The 19,915-nt window shown below is 38.8% G+C and overlaps 1 protein-coding gene and 1 long non-coding RNA gene across 3 annotated transcripts in view; both read left to right on the forward strand.

Annotated features, from left to right (window-relative positions):
• The window catches only part of PLCB1 (phospholipase C beta 1), a 752,635-nt gene that overhangs the window by 290,076 nt on the left and 442,644 nt on the right, over positions 1-19,915 (forward strand). The gene's annotated exons all lie outside the window — the stretch shown is intronic.
• LOC124900459 (uncharacterized) overlaps positions 1-19,915 on the forward strand; it is a 112,238-nt gene that overhangs the window by 22,074 nt on the left and 70,249 nt on the right. Inside the window, exon 2 of the long non-coding RNA XR_007067518.1 lies at positions 1-19,915. This exon is cut by the window's right edge and continues 70,249 nt beyond it. This is a non-coding gene — a long non-coding RNA (uncharacterized LOC124900459).

Raw genomic sequence — 19,915 nt, forward strand, 5'->3', positions numbered from 1 at the left:
GTGAAACATTTATAAGGAATCAAAATGCTACTCATTATGCAAAATGCCTGCAGAAATATCTCTATCAGAAGCAACTAAAACGTATACAGTTGACCCAGACGGAGAACAAGGGCCCCTTCTCAGGTATTAGAAATGGTCTATATATTGATAGGGGTTACATGGGTCTATGCATCTGTCAAACTCAGCAAATTATTTAAGGTCTGTATGTGATTTCACTGTCTATGAATTATACCTCAATAAAAACGTATAACGTTTATCTTATGAAATTTGAGTGCAGCTGATATTAGATACAGCAATGTGGGCTGTCAAGAATACTTTAATGGAGATGTGCATTTGGAAATAAATGCCCTTCACCTGGTATATGGAGATATTTTTATGGGAGGGAATAGCCATTGAGTAGGCTGGGTTCCAGTGACTTCATGGTCATGCCAGTCAGCGTTACCAGCAATCCAGATGGCAGAGGGGGCTGTAGCATAGACTCTGAATTATTGATTCTGGGTTCAAATCTGAGCCTAGTTCCCAGTGACCCAGCACATGTGATTTGACCTTTCTGTGCCTTAGTTTCCCTATTTATAAATGGCAATGATAAAAATATTTCCTTCACAGGAACGTTTGGAAGACCAAATGATTTAATATTTGTGAAGAACTTAGTATAGTTCTGGCACAGAGCAAACACTATATACATATTTATCAGATAAACAAAGTGACTCCAATAAGCTAGCTGCAACCACCGCAACTGTCATCTACAACTTAACCAGTTTTATTTTTTTACAGCACTTATCCTTCTTTAAGATGATCTTATTTTGAATAATTTATTTGCATGTCATTGTCAGTTGCCCACCCACCTACTTCATAAGCCCCAAGACATAAGGGACTGATCTGTTTTGTTCTTCCCTGTACTCCTAGAACAGTGCCTGACACACAATAGATCATAACACACTGAATGAATGAATAAAGGAATGATGTTTAAAGCAAAACAGGTTCTTAAAGAAGTGAGTCCTATGATATTAATGTTCCACCAAAATCATTTCCTTAATTACTGGTTAAATTGTTATGTGCCTATCCTGTGTGCTGAGTGGTACGTAAACAGCTTACTGGGGATGAGGTATCTGGATTGATATGACCAAGGAAATTTCTTGAGTGAGAAGGAGCCAATAATTGGAAAACCCCTGATTACCTAATGCTTGTAGCATGTCCCAGGATCTGAAGAATTTTTTATATATCAATATTTTGAATAAAATTCGTATTTGTCCTCAGAGAGACAAAAACTTCTGCTTTTAAGAATACTCAGAAGCTAAACTAAGACATTCATTATACCATCTAATTGTGCTAGATTGACATTTTTTCCTTCAGGATAATAAATCAAGTAAGATTAAGCAATTTATACTATGACTGGGAGGAAACTCAAATTAACAACAGACTAGTTCTGCCCCTTAAATTTGGCAGATGCTCTATTTCCATTAATCTCTGCACCTGGCTTCAAATTTCATGAGGCAGGGTCCTAATCACACTCATCTATGCATCGCTCAGAGCTTCCTAGAGTGTCTTGTATTTAATACACACAATAAATAGATGAGCAAGCTAAATGAATTGAATTTGAAAGTGTAAATACATGCACAAGAGCTTGAGACCAAGGATTTAAAGTAAGGCTTTGTGTTTTACCAAGACTGCCCTCTGGAAGAACAGAGGGGTCACCCACACAATCTGGAAATTAGGCTCACTCCTTCCATTTTACAATTCCTTATTGGCCTTGGTAGGCCTACAGGTTATTCTCAAAAACCTGACACACACACAGAAACACTCCCACACCCCTCCTCCCCCACCACACACAGTGTAGTGATGGATTTACTTCAAGGACCATGAGTTACGAGATAAGCCACACAGAGCAGAGCAAGAGTGTACAATACTGAAAAATATGTTGTGGTGAAGATTCATGTTTGAGTCATAGGACGGGAATCCAGATGTTTATTTTTAGGGGTCTCAGATAACATATCTTTACATTTGAAAGGCAACAGGGTATTTGTTTGGTTACACTATAAGCATGTATTATTTTGTTGAGACTAAATTACTTTTTTTTATTTCTATGATGCAGCACTCTTTTAGTATGGAGAGGCTCATTTGGCAATTCCCTCACCTTTTTAGTAGAAATGAATTTTGATACAAGACCAAATGAGTGTCTCTTTCTTTTCACTAACTCCCATGACCTGCATTCTGAGTTGTTGTTGTTTTTTAACTTGAGATACATGAGTCCTCTGTGCTGCATTCTGTCATCCCCAATATCATTTCTACAGAATGAATTGAGCAAAGATGGCCTAGCATTCGTATTTAGCAAGCAAATACTATGTGTTTAGCAAGTCTTCCACCAAAATACTTAGAAAGATCATGTTAACAGTAGAGGGTGGTGACTGCAAGTTGTCCAGGTTCTTGGCGTTTTGCACAAAGAATTGGACAAAACGTCTAGCAGAGCAAAGAAAGAATGAAGGAACAAAGAAGGAAAGCAGGGATTTATTGAAAACAAAAGTACACTCCACAGTGTGGGAATGGACTCGAGCCACAAGCAGCAGCTCAGGGGCCCAAATACAGAATCTTCTTGGGTTCAAATACCCCCTAGAAGTTTCCCATTGGCCACTTCGTGCTCACCTCATGTAACTGAAGCAGTAGCCTGCAATCGGTCTGATTGGTTGCAGAAAACAGCCAACCAGAGGCTGAAGTGAAGTTACAAAGGTCACACTCCCGTGCAAACATCTGATTGGTTGCTTTTTGCAACCAATGACCTGCATTCTGAGGTGTTTTTTTTTTTTTTTTAACTTAAGATACATGAATCCTCTGGGCTGCGTTCTGTCCTTGGCTGCTTTTTGCAACCAATCAGAGGCTAGGGTGAAGTTACAAAGTTGCCAAGGAAGACTGGACCTGCAATCAGTCTGATTTATTGCAGACAGCCAACTTCCCATCTGCCGCATAGAAAAGGTCAACTTAGGCGTGGAAAGTTAGGGTTTTCCTTTCAATTTAGTTCCAGGAAATTGGCATGAAACAGTCTTAGGTTCCCTGCCTCCAGGCCCTATTCTCCTGCCTCAATCATGTTATCTATGGCAGTGCTTCTAAAACTATAAAGTGCATCCACATCCCTGTATGTGCCAGTGTGGATTCACCAGGTCTAGGGGGCACCTGAGATTCTGTATCTCAAACTGGGCCCTGGGTGTTGCTATAGACCACACTCTGAGTAGCAAAGTTCTAAAGGGAAATATATTTATCACCCTTCCACAAACGGATTCTATTTAAAAAAAGAAAAAAGAAAGAAAAGAAAAAAATCATGTTATCTTCCTTAAAACATAGTTTCATATTCTTTGCCTCTAAATTAGGTGACTGTAAACTCCCTAGGCAATGAGGAGATTCCCAGCTATGGTGGTCTAAGTGCAAAACAATTTTTTCCACACCATCAGCAGCAATGTCCACGCTCATTAAGGCTGTATTTCTGGATTTTCCTTTGCAATGGGCTTCCATGTTAGATCTTCACTACATCCAATTTCAGAAAAAAAAAAAAGTTTTGAGAAAAGTTCTCCATGTGAGAGCACTTCTGTGCTGTTTTTGAAACTTCCTTCTCATTTTTCTGGTATCTTCCAGCAGGCAATGGGGAAACCTGCTTAAGCTCACCCCTCTTTCACTTTGAGCTTTATGGTGACACTTTTCTGGCACATATGTCAGCAGAGCCCACTTTTTAGCTGAGTTGAAAGGAACATGGGAAGCACTGCTTCATTTCTGCCTGGAAAAGCCAGGGACACGATGAAATGTGATTTTGTTTCCTGAAACGTGGAAGGATGGTTGGCGAAAAATGAAACATAGCACAGCCATCGCTCTTCACTAAGGGCCAACTCCTTGAGAAATGTGCTACTTTAACTCTCAGTAGTTTCTGGACAAGGCCTAAAATCAATCATAATCCTAAAAGAAAAAAAAGTTCTATTTCTTTTCCAGTGGTATTTCAGAGAATAGGAACTCTGTTACAATTTGATTTGCACTCTGTTCGCAGAAAACCGACCACGCGCACTGGTTTTGCTTATTGGTATGTTTGGATACACACGTGCGTGCACCTGCTCAGACCACAAAATTGAAGCTCAGAATGGAAAACAGAGGTTTCCATTGAGGTTTCAGCTAAAATAAATTTAAATTTAAGCCTTTCTTTGCCAGTTTGTGCTTCAAAACTTCAGAAAGTGAGGAGATGCAGGTCAAAGGGCACAGAGCAGCAGATATGTAGGATGAGCAAGTCTAGAAATCTCATTTACAACATGAGGACTGTAGTTAGTAAAACTGTATGGTATTGGGGTTCTTTGTTAAATAAGTAGGTTTTAGCTGCTCTTGTCACAGACTCACAAAGTAACCATGTGAGATGATAGATATGTTAATTTGCTTTAAAGTAGCAATGATTTTACTGTCTGTGTATCTCATAACATCGTGTCATAAACCTCAAATATATACAATAAAATATATTTAAAAATACATATAGGCTGAGTTTTTCAGGACATAGAAAAGAAATATGAACTGGATGAGAATGAGAAACTCACATAAAATGGAAGAAGATTACCATTATTATTATTACTTTGAGACAGAGTCTCGTTGTGTCACCCAGGCTGGAGTGCAGTGTCGTGATCTCAGCTCACTGCAGCCTCCTGAGCTCAAGGGATTCTCTGACCTCAGCCTCTCAAGTAACTGGGATTACAGGCACCTGCTACCACATCTGGGTAATCTTGTATTTTTGGTAGAGATGGGGTTTCACCATGTTGGACGGGCTGGTCTCGAACTGCTGACCTCAGGTGATCTGCCCGTCTCAGCCTCCCAAAGTGCTGAGATTACACGCATGAGCCACTGTGCCCAGCCAGAAAAAGATTATTATATCAAGATGGTTTTATAATAATGAAGAATAGAAATCTGGACATACTCAGATTTGTAGCATAGACTGATGGACAGTCCTGTTTGCTCTCCCAAGCAGAAAATCTAAAAGGAAACCTGGCTTCTAAGGGTTTGGAGATTCAAACCTTGAATTCTGATTCTCTAATTACAAGTGGACTTCAGTGAGTTAAAAATACAGACATCAGCTGGAACTTGAATGGAGGGTAGGGGCTTTGCTGGGAGTTGCCTGGTGAGGGAAATATTTTAAAAAGACTTTGAGTAAAACTGTTGTAAGACCAACAGGTTCGTATGCCCATTTGCACAGTAACAAATCATTTGCAGCAGAGAAAGAGTTTAATCATTGCAAGTGCAGATCAGGGAGATAAGAGGAAACCCTCAAATCCATCTCCCTGAAGGAGTTCTGGGCTGGGATTTTTAAAGGGATTATGAAGAGTGAGGGGCTGGAAATTTGGGATTCTTGATTGGTTGGAGTAAGGAGGATAAAATCATCAGGTTTTGGAAAATGAATTATTTGGTAAGTCAGCTTCTCTTGGAGCCCTATAGACCAGCTGGCGTCAGTAGTTTTACTGGTATGCAGGACCTGAAAGAATATCTTAAAGGAAAAACTGAATGTTTCATAATGTTCAAGTTGTTATCTGTACAGCAGTTGAGGGAAACTATATCTTGTGTAACAGGGTCTATGTGATTCTAGAACAATACACAAACATCTATGAGGAAGCAGGTCAGAGGAAGCTGACCTAATAATTTGTGCTGAATGTGTGGCAAGTTTGGTTTATTTTCTTCCCCCACAACCTTCTTCCCTGATTAATTTTATAAAGTTTATAGGGATGGTTTCAAAACAAAGGAAAACAGATACAACCAGGTTGGGTCCAAATGATTCAGGACATTCTCAGCAACAACAGCCCCCATGACTTGAGTCTCTCTAATAAAAAAAGAAAAGAAAAAATCTGAGGACAACTGTAAGGGTAGTCAGGGTTTTCATTTTTTTTTTTTCTGTGACAGAGTCTCACTCTGTTGCCCAGGCTGGAATCCAGTGGTGCAATCTCGGCTCACTGCAACCTCTGTCTCCCGGGTTCAAGCGATTCACCTGCCTCAGCCTCTCGAGTAGCTGGGACTACAGGTGTGTGCCACCACACTCAGCTAATTTTTGAATTTTTAGTAGAGATGTGGTTTTGCCATGTTGGCCAGGCTGGTCTCCAACTCCTGACCTCAGGTGATCCACCCACCTTGGCCTCCCAAAGTGTTGGGATTATAGGCATGAGCCACCATGCCCAGCCAACTGTAAGGGTTTTTATAGATGTGTTTACATAAAAGAAAATAGCACAGGGAAAAAGTGTGCAGTGTCAATAAATGGGACAGGATTATTCACTCCTGGTTTGTATTCCCCATCCCAAGAGAACGACGATTTCACTGCAAAGGCATTTTAAGAGCCATGTAGAGGAATTGTGGCCGATTGAATAGGAAGTTCTACCTGGTTCAAATGAGCTCACATCTCTCGGGGAAGCTGGTGACTGTGGACCCAGGTAGTCCAGGTCATCTTTGAGAAATGATGGAGAACGTAGTGTCAGAGGTGAGGGGATTCTGTGGCCTCCATCTAGCATTCTGCTTGGCATCTCCTACAAAAACTTCTCAGAAATATGAGAAATACAGGGGAAAATGTTTGAATGCTATCCCATGGCAGTTAATATGGAATCTGTTGTGGTTTGTGGATTAGTTGTGTGATTCAGGTGCCATTGGAGGTTTCTGGAAGAGAAGGGCCTTTTAAAAGCCTCTGAGAGGCCAGTATTATCCCCAGAAAGAATGAGAGGAGGTTTATTGTATGCACGCAAGCAATATCTATGAATCCCTTTACTTGCTTGTATCTTACCCTCTTCTGCCCTAGGAACAGGCTCGTGGGAGAAGTGACCCAACTACACCTTCCTGCCAGTCTCGAGCATTTTAGGTGTTAACCACCAAAGTGGCTGACACATGTACTTACTCACTTGGTTTTAATTTGCAGAGTAGGAACAATGGACTTAGATTTTTTTAAACTTCTCTAACTCTTTAATCACTGAATGAAATAACTCATGTTGGAAAGACAAAGAATTTCCTGGTAGACCTTTTGAACAAGAGCTCATAGATTTCAGTGCCATTGGTAGCCAATGTGATACCATGGCATTGTTGTCTATTGTGTTTTTTAGGTTGTGACCTATTTGTGGGTTATGAATTCAATTTTGTGGATTGGGACCTGCAATTTAAAAAAAAGATGAAGGAAATAGAACATAATAGAGTCAAGCGCCATGCAATACAAAATGTCAGAGGTATCCCAACTAACAAGGGTGAATGATGGTTTGTAAAACTTCAGTTACGTATGTATACGTGCATGTATGAGTGTTCTGAGTGATAATATAAAATGCATTTTTTACTGAGGAGCATGATCAGAACAATATCAAACCATTGACCAACATCAACATATTTCTATTAGAAAGATATTTAAATGAAGTTTGTATAGTAAAAGGAAGAAAGAACACTAAAATATTTGCAAATCTACCCTGCACAGTCACTTTAATCTTTTCAGCTTCTAATTGAGATAGATGCTCTATATTACCCTGTTTATTAATAAACCCTCAAAGATCTAAAAAGGTGAATTAACTCTCAGGGGCTTTAACAGATAAATTAACTTGAACCTGCCTAGTTGTCTGTTTCAGAGCCAGAATTCGAACATGGATTCATTTTAGCCGCAGTAAGCACCTGTGTTAGTCAGAATTCAGTGTGGGTAACAGAAGGGCAGGCCAGATTGGAGAGAGCTGGAAACATATTCCAGGTAGAGACAATGGTGCCTGATGAAGCCTAAGGGTCTGAATGCTGGAGTAAAGCCAGGGGTTATTTACACTGTGACTGGGTGTGAATCTACAGATAGATCTGAAACTAGAAGATAAGCCCATGAAGGAAATGGGAAAATGTGCCCTGATTTTGAGTTACATTAGCAAAAAAAATCAAAGCTGAGTCCAAGATGGAAGAACATCTACATAATTAGAGAGGACAGAAGTGATCACGAAGACCTAGGGGACAGGGAGAGGCCTCAGGTAATGCAAAATCTGTACATAATGATTGAGGTCAGGAGAACAGATGCTCTTCCCGGGTCAGTTTTAAGGCTGAAATGTTTCAGGAAAACTGGGAACAAAGCATGGTTGGAAATAGCAGGCTAAGCTGATGCATCAGGAGACTGCAGATCTCAGTGTTACCTTGCCTGGGAACAGGATGGGCCCCAAGTATGGCTGAGAATGCAAGTCTCATGGGTATATGTTTAATGAACCTAGTTGGGAGATGTTAGGAGGAAGACTGGTTCTGATGTGAAAGTTTCCTTCCAAAGAATAGGCCAACCTAACTGCAGCAGTGCTGATTATGATGGAAATTTCCTATTTTGATTCTTCATCAAAAGAAAGAAGAGCCGGTACCATGGTTCTTGCCTGTAATCCCAGCACTTTGGGAGGCCAAGGTGGGAGGATCACTTGAGGCCAGGAGTTTGATACCAGCCCCTATAGGAAACATAACAAGACCCCATCTCTACTAAAAATTAAAAAATTAGCCTGGCATGGTGGCTATGTGTCTTTAGTCCTAGCTACTCAGGAGGCTGAGGCAGGAGGCTCTCTTGAGCCCAGAAGTAGGAGACAGCAGTGAGCTATGATCACACCACTTGCGCTCTAGCCTGGGTGACAGAGCAAGACCATGTCTCAAAAAAAAGAAGAAAAAGGAGAAATTAAAAAGTTTTTCCTTATGGTTTATCTTTAGTAGTTTGACGTATTAAAGAGGTTTATATTTTATTATTATATATGCATTAATATATAATCAGATATTAATTAAATATGTATTAGTATATTATACATTAACAAACTTACATTGTCATCTTCTTCAACTAATTCTAAGCCTCAAACGAAGTGTAAAAGAAAACTGAAGCATCAAAAAATTAGTCAGCTTCAGGCACTATCCCAAATGTTGAAGTTTTCCATGTAAATAAATAAAACCTCTAAAATTAACAAGAGGCTATTTTCACTGTTGCCTGTTGGACACAAGCCTTAATTATGACAGTGATCTGAATAGCCAAGTTACACTGTAAGGCTGTTTCCCTGAATGGAAACACCAACCTTTTTTGCTTTTTTGAAAAAGAAGCAGAAACAGAAGCAGAAGGAGAGGGAGAGGGAAAAGAATTCTTTCGGACAAAATGTATCAAATGTTTGACTTCACTCCAGAGGCAATTTTTAAATACCAAAAATTGTTTCACATCTATTCCCAATAAGGTTTGCCACCAAAGGAGTTTGCTCTAAATTTGTGACTGGATGTTTGGTTTTCAGAGGTTTCAGGATTTCAGAATCATGGTAAGGGATTATAGACATGTATTTGGTATGTGCAATATTGGGGGACTTGAATATTAAGTCTGATTGGGAACATCTCTGGGTTTCTGTATGTGTACACATTCTACACAATAGTGTAAAGTTTTCTAGAAAATTTAGTGTCAGCAAAAATTACGCTGGGGTCTGAGTTTTTATGTGAGAATCTTATAAAGATCAAAATATTAGCTAAAATTTAAAATTTGAGTTGAAAGGGCTTGAATGCTGTATTAGTCTGCTTGGGCTGCCATAATAAAATGCTGTAGATTAGGTGGCTTAAACAACAAACATTTCAGTTTGGAAGGCTGGGAAGTCCACTATCTGGGTGCTGGCAAGGTAGGTTTCAGAACATTCCTTCTTTTGGCTTGTCGGCAACCACCATGTCACTGTGTGCTCAGATGACCTCTTCTTTGTATGTGGTGGTGGGGGTGGGAGCTGGGAGGTCTCTCTAATATCTCTGTTGTGGGATTTTTCCTTAGTTCAGCTGAAGACAGGGGTCCTTATCACATGGCCACGAAAAATCTGGCTTGCAGACAATCTGAAGCGTGAGGAGGGCCGGGTTTATTGGGTGAAAGAGGGAAACAGGGACGCTCCGCAAGGCCAGAATCCCTGCTACAGCGCTTCCTGCCTGAAGATTGAATCCCAGGTTCCACCCAGGAATAGGAGGGGCCAGGCTTCCCCCGCTGCAAACAGCACCAACTCCCGTGGCTCCATGCCAGTGCGCAATCCTCCCAGTGTGCAGGCTGGTTGGAGTTTTTCCAAGGACCTCTTCCCACCTGGCTGTCTCATCTCATTTTGTAAGGACATAAATCCAATCCTATCCTATCCTATTCTATCCGAGCCCCACCCTTATGACCTTATTTAACCTTAATTACTTCTTTCTAGACCCTATCTCCAACTACTACTGCTTTAACATGTGAATCTGGGAGTGGGGGAGAAAATTCTATCCTTAGCAGATGCTAAAACTCAGGACTTGAAACTGCTTTACCAAATGATTATGTGCTGTGGTCTGAAGCAGTATTATTTTTTAACCCAGTGTTTTTCATTCCCATGTTTTTTTCTTTTCTAAGAAATTATTTTCTTCAGGATCAAAGCGACAGAAACTTAGAAGTGGCATTTGAAGTTGCCAACATTAAACCTTTGATCAGTCCGGCCTAGTCACCAGCCAAACAAGGAGGAGAGAGATTGTTGCTCATCCATCTAAATTCACAGCTCAAAGGTGCAGAAATCCAGCTGGAGTAGAAAACATTTCCTGTACTGAGTTAAATTTAACTGAACTCCATGCCTGGATGATTTCTGCCAGTGGCGCCCGTGGGATTGTGTGACCCCCTCTGGCTTTGCTATCTGCAGGTTTCTTGATCACACGTGGTATCCATTTATCAGTCCTGGCTGGAGCCAGTTTCCCAGAGCAAACAGATTCAGGATGATCCGCACTATCAGCAGAGGTTCACCAAAGTTCTAATTAGACCAGGAAGGTTTATTAATACAATTAGCTTTAGGGAGGACAGTTACAACAGGAAGCAAATTCCTTGCAGCATCCGGTCCTCTCTTAGCCATGTTAGTTGATTAAGAGGAAAGCCTCAGACTTCAAAATCAAGAGCAAAATTGAAAATGTCTGGGAATTTAACTTTCCAGTAACTGTAAAGTTTTAACCGTGAACTTTCTATTAACTGTAAAGTATAATTTAACTTTCTAATAACTGTAGAACAAGAAAGGATTCTAGAAAAATCTTGGGAAAAATTATTAATGAGGGGCCTGAGGGCTTAAGTTTGGGGAGAGTGGGCTTCTTTTGATTTGCAATGTGGAAGCTGCTTTTGCTCATGCTTTCTGAAGATCTTCCATAAAGAGGGGAACTGCGAATTGCAAAGTAAAGCCCCTGCTGTGGAGTGAATTTGCTTATGTCACACTCTATCTGAGTGACCCTTAGGAAGTTCCCTAATCTCCCATGCCTGTTTTCTGGGTTGTAAATGCAAGTAATAAAAGTAACTGCCTCATAGGTTTGTTGCAAGTATTAAATAAGAAAATTTATAACGGACATAAAAGGGAGTTGGCATAGAGTTAATGTTCAGTAAATGACGAGTGTATCCTTCTCCTCTTCCTCCTCCTCCTCCTCATCCTCCTCCTCCTCCTCCTCATGGACAATTGGTTTCATCCATCTGATAATGAAACACTGTGAATTGCCCCCAGGAGTGCTTTAAATGATGTCTACTTGTACATAGATGCTCAAAATTTTTGAATTCTATCAGTATGACATCTAGAAGAGTCATGGGTAGCACCAAGGGATAAGCTCTTTCTCTGGAAGAATAGTACATTTCTTTCTATTAAAAAAACATGAATTAGTCAACCCATTATGTGTTTGTTTTTTGCCCTTATTACCAGAAAACTACAAGATGATTTTCAATCACAGTGAGGATTAGTTTCTGTGACTAACATGTTTCTTTCTTTCTCATTCTTATGAGTTTGATTTCCCATTCTTAAGCAAAAAAGCACAATAGGTGTGATTGTGTGTACCATTTTTTTGAATGAGGCAGGAAGATAGTTGACAGTTGGTTAATTCATGTATTCATTCTAGTTAGTTTTGTGTCTGCACTTCCTTCTGGAATTTAAACATTTTTGAAAATACGGTCTCTGTTCTATTTTTTATTTTTCATTCCTATAAAGTTTTATTGAATGCCTATATGTGTCCAACATACCAGATCCTAAGGTTTCACATAAGTCAGATTGGTCTCTGTCCTTAATGGTGTTATCATATAGCAGAGGACAAAATCATAAAATAATAATAATATATGAAAGATATGTAAGCATGTAAGGTCAAGAGGGTGGAAATTTCTTCTGTCTTATTCACTGCTTTATTGCTACTCCTAAGGGAGTGCCTAAAACAGATTAGATGTCCAATTAGTATTTATTCTATCAATTACTGTCCCAGGCATTTTACACATATTAGAAATATGAGAACTAATGTTTATTGAGCAATTCATATCTGTATACCAAACATTCTACTGGTATTTCAACACCGTGAACTAGAAACAATTACTAAGGTTATGAAATAGGAGTTAACACTGAAGTCTAGAGAGGTTATGCAATTTGCTTATGGTCACACAGCTAATAAGAGCTAGATAGAGGTCTCCTCTAGAGCTCATGAGCTTAACCAGTACCTCCATCCATGACACTGTCTTACCCTAATACTGGAGGAGTTGAGGAATAGGCTTCCCCACATCGTGGATAATAAAGCTAAAATTTTCTAAGGCAGGGCCTGGTTAATGGAGGGCACATGCAAGCTGACACTCTCAGGACTCCAAAGTGTACACACTTTTCACTATACCACACAGCCTCTCATGCACGTAGACAATCACACACATACAAACATTCTAACAAAAGTTTGTAGGAATTGTGCTGGGACCATGCTGTATAGCTGTAGTCCATGGTGTATAACATGCCTGCAGTAGAATATCTATTGAAATGAATAGAGCTACAAGGTTAATCCATTGGAGAAGGAATTTGGTGTGATACTTACAAGCTCCCCAGTGGCATGAATGTGTCACTCTTCACAACACTGCCTAGTTCTTGTGTAGATACACTATAAGCATTAAGACAATTTATCCTTACTGTACAAGACTATGGAGTGTAGATGTGGTAGACCTAATTCTGAGATGGCCTTCAGAATCCCATCCGTTGGTGTCCATGCCCTGCCCATTAAGTGTGGGCAAAACCTAAGGTTTGCTTCTACCCGGTAGAATATGACAAAGGTGAAGGGATTTTGCAGCTATAATTAAAGTGTCATGTCAGTTGATTTTGAGTAAATCAAAAGGGAGATTATCCTGGGTGAGCCTGACTTAATTAGGTGAAAGCCCTTAAAAAAGGAACTGGGCCCTTCTGGAGGCAATAGACTGTTCTTGAAGACTTGCTGAAGTTAGTGGCTCTTTTGGAGAAGCCTACATATCAAGGAAATATGACAGCCTCCGGAACTGCAAGCAGCCTCTGGTATCCAAGGCCCCAACAAAAAGCCAGAGCCCTCAGTCACAGAGCTCAAGAAATTGAATTCTACCGTCAACCTGAATGAGCTTGGAAGTGGATTATTCCCCAATCAAGCCTCCAGACTTTAACCCAATCTGGCTGATCCCTTAGTTACAGTCTTATGAGACATTGACAGGAGAGTGGGTTTAGACGTTAATATCCCATTTCCGTTACCAGATATACTGCAAAGACAGAGATCATTTTTTCAAGGAAGTTGTGACTAAGCACCATTTGAAATATCACTATTGTGGTTTTGACTGACCCCAGATGAAAAGATGAACTCTCCTAAGATTTCAGGCATCTTTAAGGATAGATTGTAATGATGCCAGGTGATTCCTAGATGAGATACACTAAAATTCCTCTCCACACAAGGAAAATAACAGTGTGTTCTCTACTTCTCTTGGAAGTTCCATCATTAAGGATATTGAATATGACCAGGCACAGTGGCTCACGCCTGTAATCCCAGCACTTTGGGAGGCTGAGGCAGGTGGATCAGTTGAGGCCAGGAGTTCGAGACCAGCCTGGCCATGACGAAACCTGTCTCTACTAAAAACACAAAAAAGTTAGCCAGGCATGGTTAATTAGCCCTGCTACTTGAGAGGCTGAGGCACAAGAATCAAGAATCACTTTAACCTGGAAGGCAGAGGTTGCACTGAGATCGCGCCACCGAACTCCAGTCTGGGTGACAGAGTGAGACCCTGTCAAAAAAAAAAAAAAAAAGAATATTGAACATATGTTTACATAAATTAATTATTTTGAGCAATGACTATTTCTGCTTCAGAAAATCTGGACTTCTTAAGTTGTGTTCAAGAAAAAAAAAACAAGACAACAAACACTTCAGGTTTATCCTTTTATGTTGTGACTATGTGGGAAGAGATTGTTAATTTAAAAAATCTGTTAACACCAAACTCTCTTTTTTCTCTTTTCCTCTTTTTTTTCTCTCTTCTCTGTCTCTCCTCATTTTATAGGTTTTGGTGTCTATTTATTTTTTCTCCATGTATTGCCACCCTTTGCTCTAGGCTTACATACTTTTAACTACAAATCCAGGAAGGATCCCTGATTCCACCTGTTCCAGTGAAAACCCTGATGTAGCTTTCATTAGACCAACATAGAATATGTGCCAACACTTGACCTAGCCACCGTAGCCATGGAATTTTATTTATTTATTTATTTATTATTTTCTGAAACAGAGTCTCACTCTGTTGCCCAGGCTGGAGTGCAGGGGTACGATCTTTGCTCACTGCAACCTCCACCTCCCGGTTTCAAGTGATTCTCCTGCTTCAGCCTCCCAAGTAGCTGAGATCACAGGCGTGTGCCACCACACCCAGCTAATTTTTGTATTTTTAGTAGAGATGAGCTTTCACCATATTGGCCAGGCTGGTCTCAAACTCCTAACCTCAAGTGATCCACCCACCTTGGCCTCCTAAAGTGCCGGGATTACAGGCATGAGCCACCGAGCCTGGTCCGTAACCATGGATTTTAATGATCTGTTCAGCCAGGCCTGGAATGCACGCCTTCCCCTGTAGCCAGGAGTAAAATAAGCCTATCAGAACCATGCAGGCTGGAGTTACATTTTCAAAGAGGAAAATGGATAAAAACGTTCCATTACTGAGACAACCTCAGATATTTTCCTCAGAGTGGAAATCAGGAAACCAACTTAGAGTCATCTCAAGATTAGAGGGAATTTGGGCTAGAAGGAGAATATTCTAAAGCTACTATTTACTAAAATATTACCTAATAGTACAGGAATAGACAACTGTATCAATGGAGTAGAAGAGATTAGAAAGTGTTCAAACAAGCATAACTCATTTAGAATGGATGCATGAAATGCTATTTCATTGTAGCACTATTGTTTTAGAAATGGTTTTATTAAACTATACACAAATATATGAACACAAATCCATTACAGTACTGAGTAGTGGAATCACTATTTCTCAAATAACTAGTCATCCAGTACAGTAGACTGACATCTTACTGTTTTTACCATCTATTTGTTCTCTCTGGTATGGTGTTTATTTCTACCATTATTTGTACTTATATGAACATTTTTGGGCTGAGATGGCTATCAAAAATGTGCACCAGAGTGGCAAAGAAAAATTCCCTATTCAATATAAAAATACCACTTTTACTGGGGCTCTGGGAACCTTCAAGACAGTGAGCAAGGAAGTATTAGGTAAAATTACCAATTATGTAGCTAATTAGATATGAGGGGAAATCCTTGAAAACTTAGTAGGCCACATACATATCACTGCAGCCTCTAAAGATTGACAAGTAGAGGGAAATAAATTGCCAATAAATGATACTGAGAATATATGTCCAAACAGACTATGCCATTATAAGGTAATCACTCCCTGAAACATAAAAAAAGTCTATTTTATGAATTTTATATACTTATAGTTTATTTTATTATTTGTAGAACTTTTAAAATTTATATCTTCATATATGAATTTCATTTTTATTTTGTGTGTTCTATCTTATATATTTGTAGATAATTTCATAAATGTTTATTTTTGCTAGTTAAGCATCTGATATAAATGACATTTCCAATTAATAGTGAAATGGTGTTTCCAGGAAAGATATTGGAACAATGAATATCCGTATATAAAAGTAATTTTGGCAACCTACTTCACACCATATAAGCAAATAATTTCCATATTATATACATACCTAAATATTGAGGGAAAACCAAAATTGCTAGAATATACATAATATACTTTTTATAACTGTAGAGTGGGAGAAAACATTTTTAGACATAGCGCAAAACCCAGAAGCAAAGTAAAACACTGGTAGGTTATCTGCTTAACACTGTTAAACTTCTAATGGGCAAAAGACAAAGCAGACAAAGGTAAAGACAAGTTACAGGCTGGGAGAAAACAGTTACAAGATATATCAGAAAAAGGGAAACATATACCATCTCTAACATACTCTTACATGGCTCTTACAACCCAATAAGAAAGTGAAGTTCTCAGGTATCTGTGAATGCAAGCCACAGTTGTCTCTTAGCCACAATGTCTAGGGTGCGTCAGGATTCAGACGACTGCAGTTCCTGGCCAAGTACCCCCTAGCTTTGCTGAATGACATGCCTCTTTATGGCTTATGGACAGCAACCATTGGGTTCAGGTCTTTGCCCCATTTCCTGACCCAAGGGGCCACAAAATCCTTTGTCCTCACCCCAGGCCACAAGAAGAGCATCTCCTCAGAAAGTGGCCACTGGTTATTTCACCTGGCCCCAAGACGATGCAAGGCACCCACTCTGCTTTTTTTGTGATGAGATGGAGCATGACTGGCCTTGCACATGACCTTCAGTCACTGCCTCTTTGCTCTTTGGTTGTTGACTTTGTCGGCAGGGAATTCAGAGGGAAGGAGAGTCAGCGACGTGCTCTCGTAAGGTCATCTTAGAAGACCACTCTCTCCAATTATTTTAAGCAGCTCTTTAGAGCTTTCTACATTGTGAAGTTCTTTATCCTACCTGTGTATCCCTAGGGCTTTACAGAGTGGAGATTCAGTAAATATTTTGACAAGAGTGAGCAAATGATTTAACAGTCGATGGAGTGCAAATTGCCAACAACTTACTGTAGCGTTTCCATCCACAGCATTCAGGGTCAGTGGCTAAAATACTTGTCGTAAAGGTGCCAAGCCTCCAGGCATCTAGCAGGGCATTAGCACACCGAAGCATTTATTAGACTCAGGAATATACTCTTTATTGGCTCATTTCAAACAATACCTAAAAAAGAAACCTCTTTTTTTAAAGCCTTCAAAAGATGGCAGGATGTATTTTTTCCTAAGACCCATAAAACAGGTAACATAAACTGTTACTATTTCATAAGAAAAACTTAGGTACAGAAATACTCAAACACTTATCCAAGGGAGCTGGAATTTGTGTCAAATTTTCTTGAGGAATTACATGGCTCGTACTATTTAGACCATGTTCTAAACAAGCATTTATCGCTCTTTGAAGTTGTGTCGTATTTAGAAATTTAGATTCATAGTAATTAGATATTTAGATAGATTATACTGGAATATTTGGGTGGCATATGGACAGCAGGTCTGTAAATAAAATTTAAATCTTCATTACTATATTTTCTACATTCTGCCTTATGCTTGATTTAAGCTTTTTTCCCTTCTTTTCACTGGTTAGATTTTTTTTTCATTTATTTTTTCTTCTAGGTCGTTGACCTTTTTATAGGCATAGAAAATGCCTTGTACCGTGCACCAAAGTTCTTAAAATTTTAAAAGCTTTCTTTGACTAAGTCATCCCTTGCCCTCTTTTGAAGCTATTCTGACCTCTATTTTCTATTTTATTTTAATTAATCATATCTTAGGATTTGTAGGCTTATATGTGGATGCATGTATATTATCTTGTTAAGGGTACATAAGGCAGTTATACAAAAGATTATGTTGGCTTCAAAGAATGTTAAACAAAAGGAATGAGAAGATTCCTGAATAATATAGTTATGCATACTCAGAGCTTCTTTCATAAGGGCATTTGAAATGTATGCTGATCACCTCAAGGTCGCCATGAAATGGGAAGATTTAAACTAGTGGTGTTTGGACAGAAACAACTTTTACCTTGAAAGCCAGCAATCAATGACTGAAAAATGTATATCTAAGGCTGGAAAATCATTTCAGTATTATTAAGTATTCTGATGACAAAAAAGGTTCAAACATTTGTGACTCCCATAGCTAGTATTGATATGGGTGATGGGAAATAAGGATGTATTTATTTTATTTGGACTTTAGTCATGTTTTTATTGTCTGTAAAAATGACTTGACTGTTACAGCTAGAACATTGAAGAAAGAAGGGAAGCAGGTCAAATGGGTCCCCAGTGATTCCCTGTGGCACCTGGACTTTCTCCAGGAATTGATTGTTACATATTATTCCATCAAACACCTTTTAACCAGTCCAGTTCTTGTCTATGGATCCAGACAATTCAGTCTTCCCAGGGCTTACCCATGTTTCCATATATCCAGAAAGTTTGTATATTATGGCTAGAAAAGCAATTAAACCACTTTGGAAGGGTTGGGGGAAGGGAGGGTTAGGGAGAGACTTGTTAAAGGATACAAAATTATAGCTAGATAGGAGGAATAAATTCTAGTATTGTATAGCTTTGCAGGAAGACTAAAGTTAACAATCATATGGTATATAGTATCAGATAGCTAGAAGGAGGATATTTAATGTTCCCCACACAAAGAAATGATAAATGTTTTTGATTTTATATATATATATATATGATAATTACCGTGATCTGATCACTATATGTTATATGGATCGAAACATCACTATGTACTCCATGAATATATACAATTATTATGTGTCAATTTAAGAAATTAAATTAAAAAGAGAAATTAACCCAGCCTCACCATTTTACAGCAGAGGGACTTGAGGTGGAAAAAATTCAAGAAACTTTACTCTCGTCATTCAACGGAGTGATCTTTTGAAAAAGGTAGCATTACAAGAAATCCAGTATATACCCACAAATACGTGGCCACATTTCTTGACAATGTTCCAATTATTATTGATATCTACAATTAGAATTAAATCGTTGTTTCTAACCAGTAATATTCCAAGTAAAGTAGTAACATTGTTTATTCATTGGCATTAGGCATCTATGGTTAGCTCTACAGAATTATAGTTGAAATCTATGTGAAAATATCAATTTTTACACTTACCGACCATAATAGGATACTTACAGAAGAGCTTGATACCAGACTGTCAGCCAAAGATTTTCTGAATTTGGTATGAATTTTCTAAAGGTGGAGTGATTTGCTTCAAGAGAAAATTGCTTTGAGTGCATTTTGCAGTCAAGAACTTTGACACCTTGCAATTTACTAGTTGCAAAGATAATCTGATCACAAAGTAAGAAATCTGATCGTTGTAATTCCAATTTATATCAATAAGAAATAATAAATAATCTTTATTTTGGAGGTTTGCTAAGTGACTGAAAGTTTATCTAAATACAGACGGTTTTGCATGAACGCTAGGGACTGAATGAAACACTGTTTGCCTACCAATTAACCAGGCAGGTGTGAAACATAAGCAGTGACCGACCATAACAGACGATCTCTCAGATATTGATCACTCTTTTAACAGAAAAATTCCTATGGGCAGATAGAGGAGGGGGAGAGGGCAGCATTCTCTTGAGATTGTCTTAGGGAAGGATGATCATGAAACTCTTTATATCTGAAAAAAATTTTAAATCCTTTTAAATATCAATCCAGGAGGATTAGCTAAGCAGCAATAAAGCACCTTATAACTGTTACATAGTTAATTCAAAGAAGCATTGTATCAAGATAAATAAATATAGAAAACAAGGAATCCATTTTCAAGAAACATACTTTGTTCTAGTTCTGACTTCAGATTTAAAACACACACACATACGCAGAAGACACACTGAATATGATTGAATCTAGAATATAGAAATAAAATAATTGAATATATTCCATTTGTTAATGTGTGCATGTGTTTTCAAGACATGGCTCAATGATTCTGTAGTTTTTTCCTTATTTTTATTTTGAGAATTTTCTAGAAAAAATATGTCTTAAATACTTAATTTTTACTTCTTGGTTATCTTAGTCCATTTGTACTGCTACAGCAGAATACATGAGATGATAATTTCTAAAGAACAGGAATT

Source organism: Homo sapiens, chromosome 20 (genome assembly GCF_000001405.40).
Source record: "Homo sapiens chromosome 20, GRCh38.p14 Primary Assembly".
Lineage (NCBI taxonomy): Eukaryota > Metazoa > Chordata > Mammalia > Primates > Hominidae > Homo > Homo sapiens.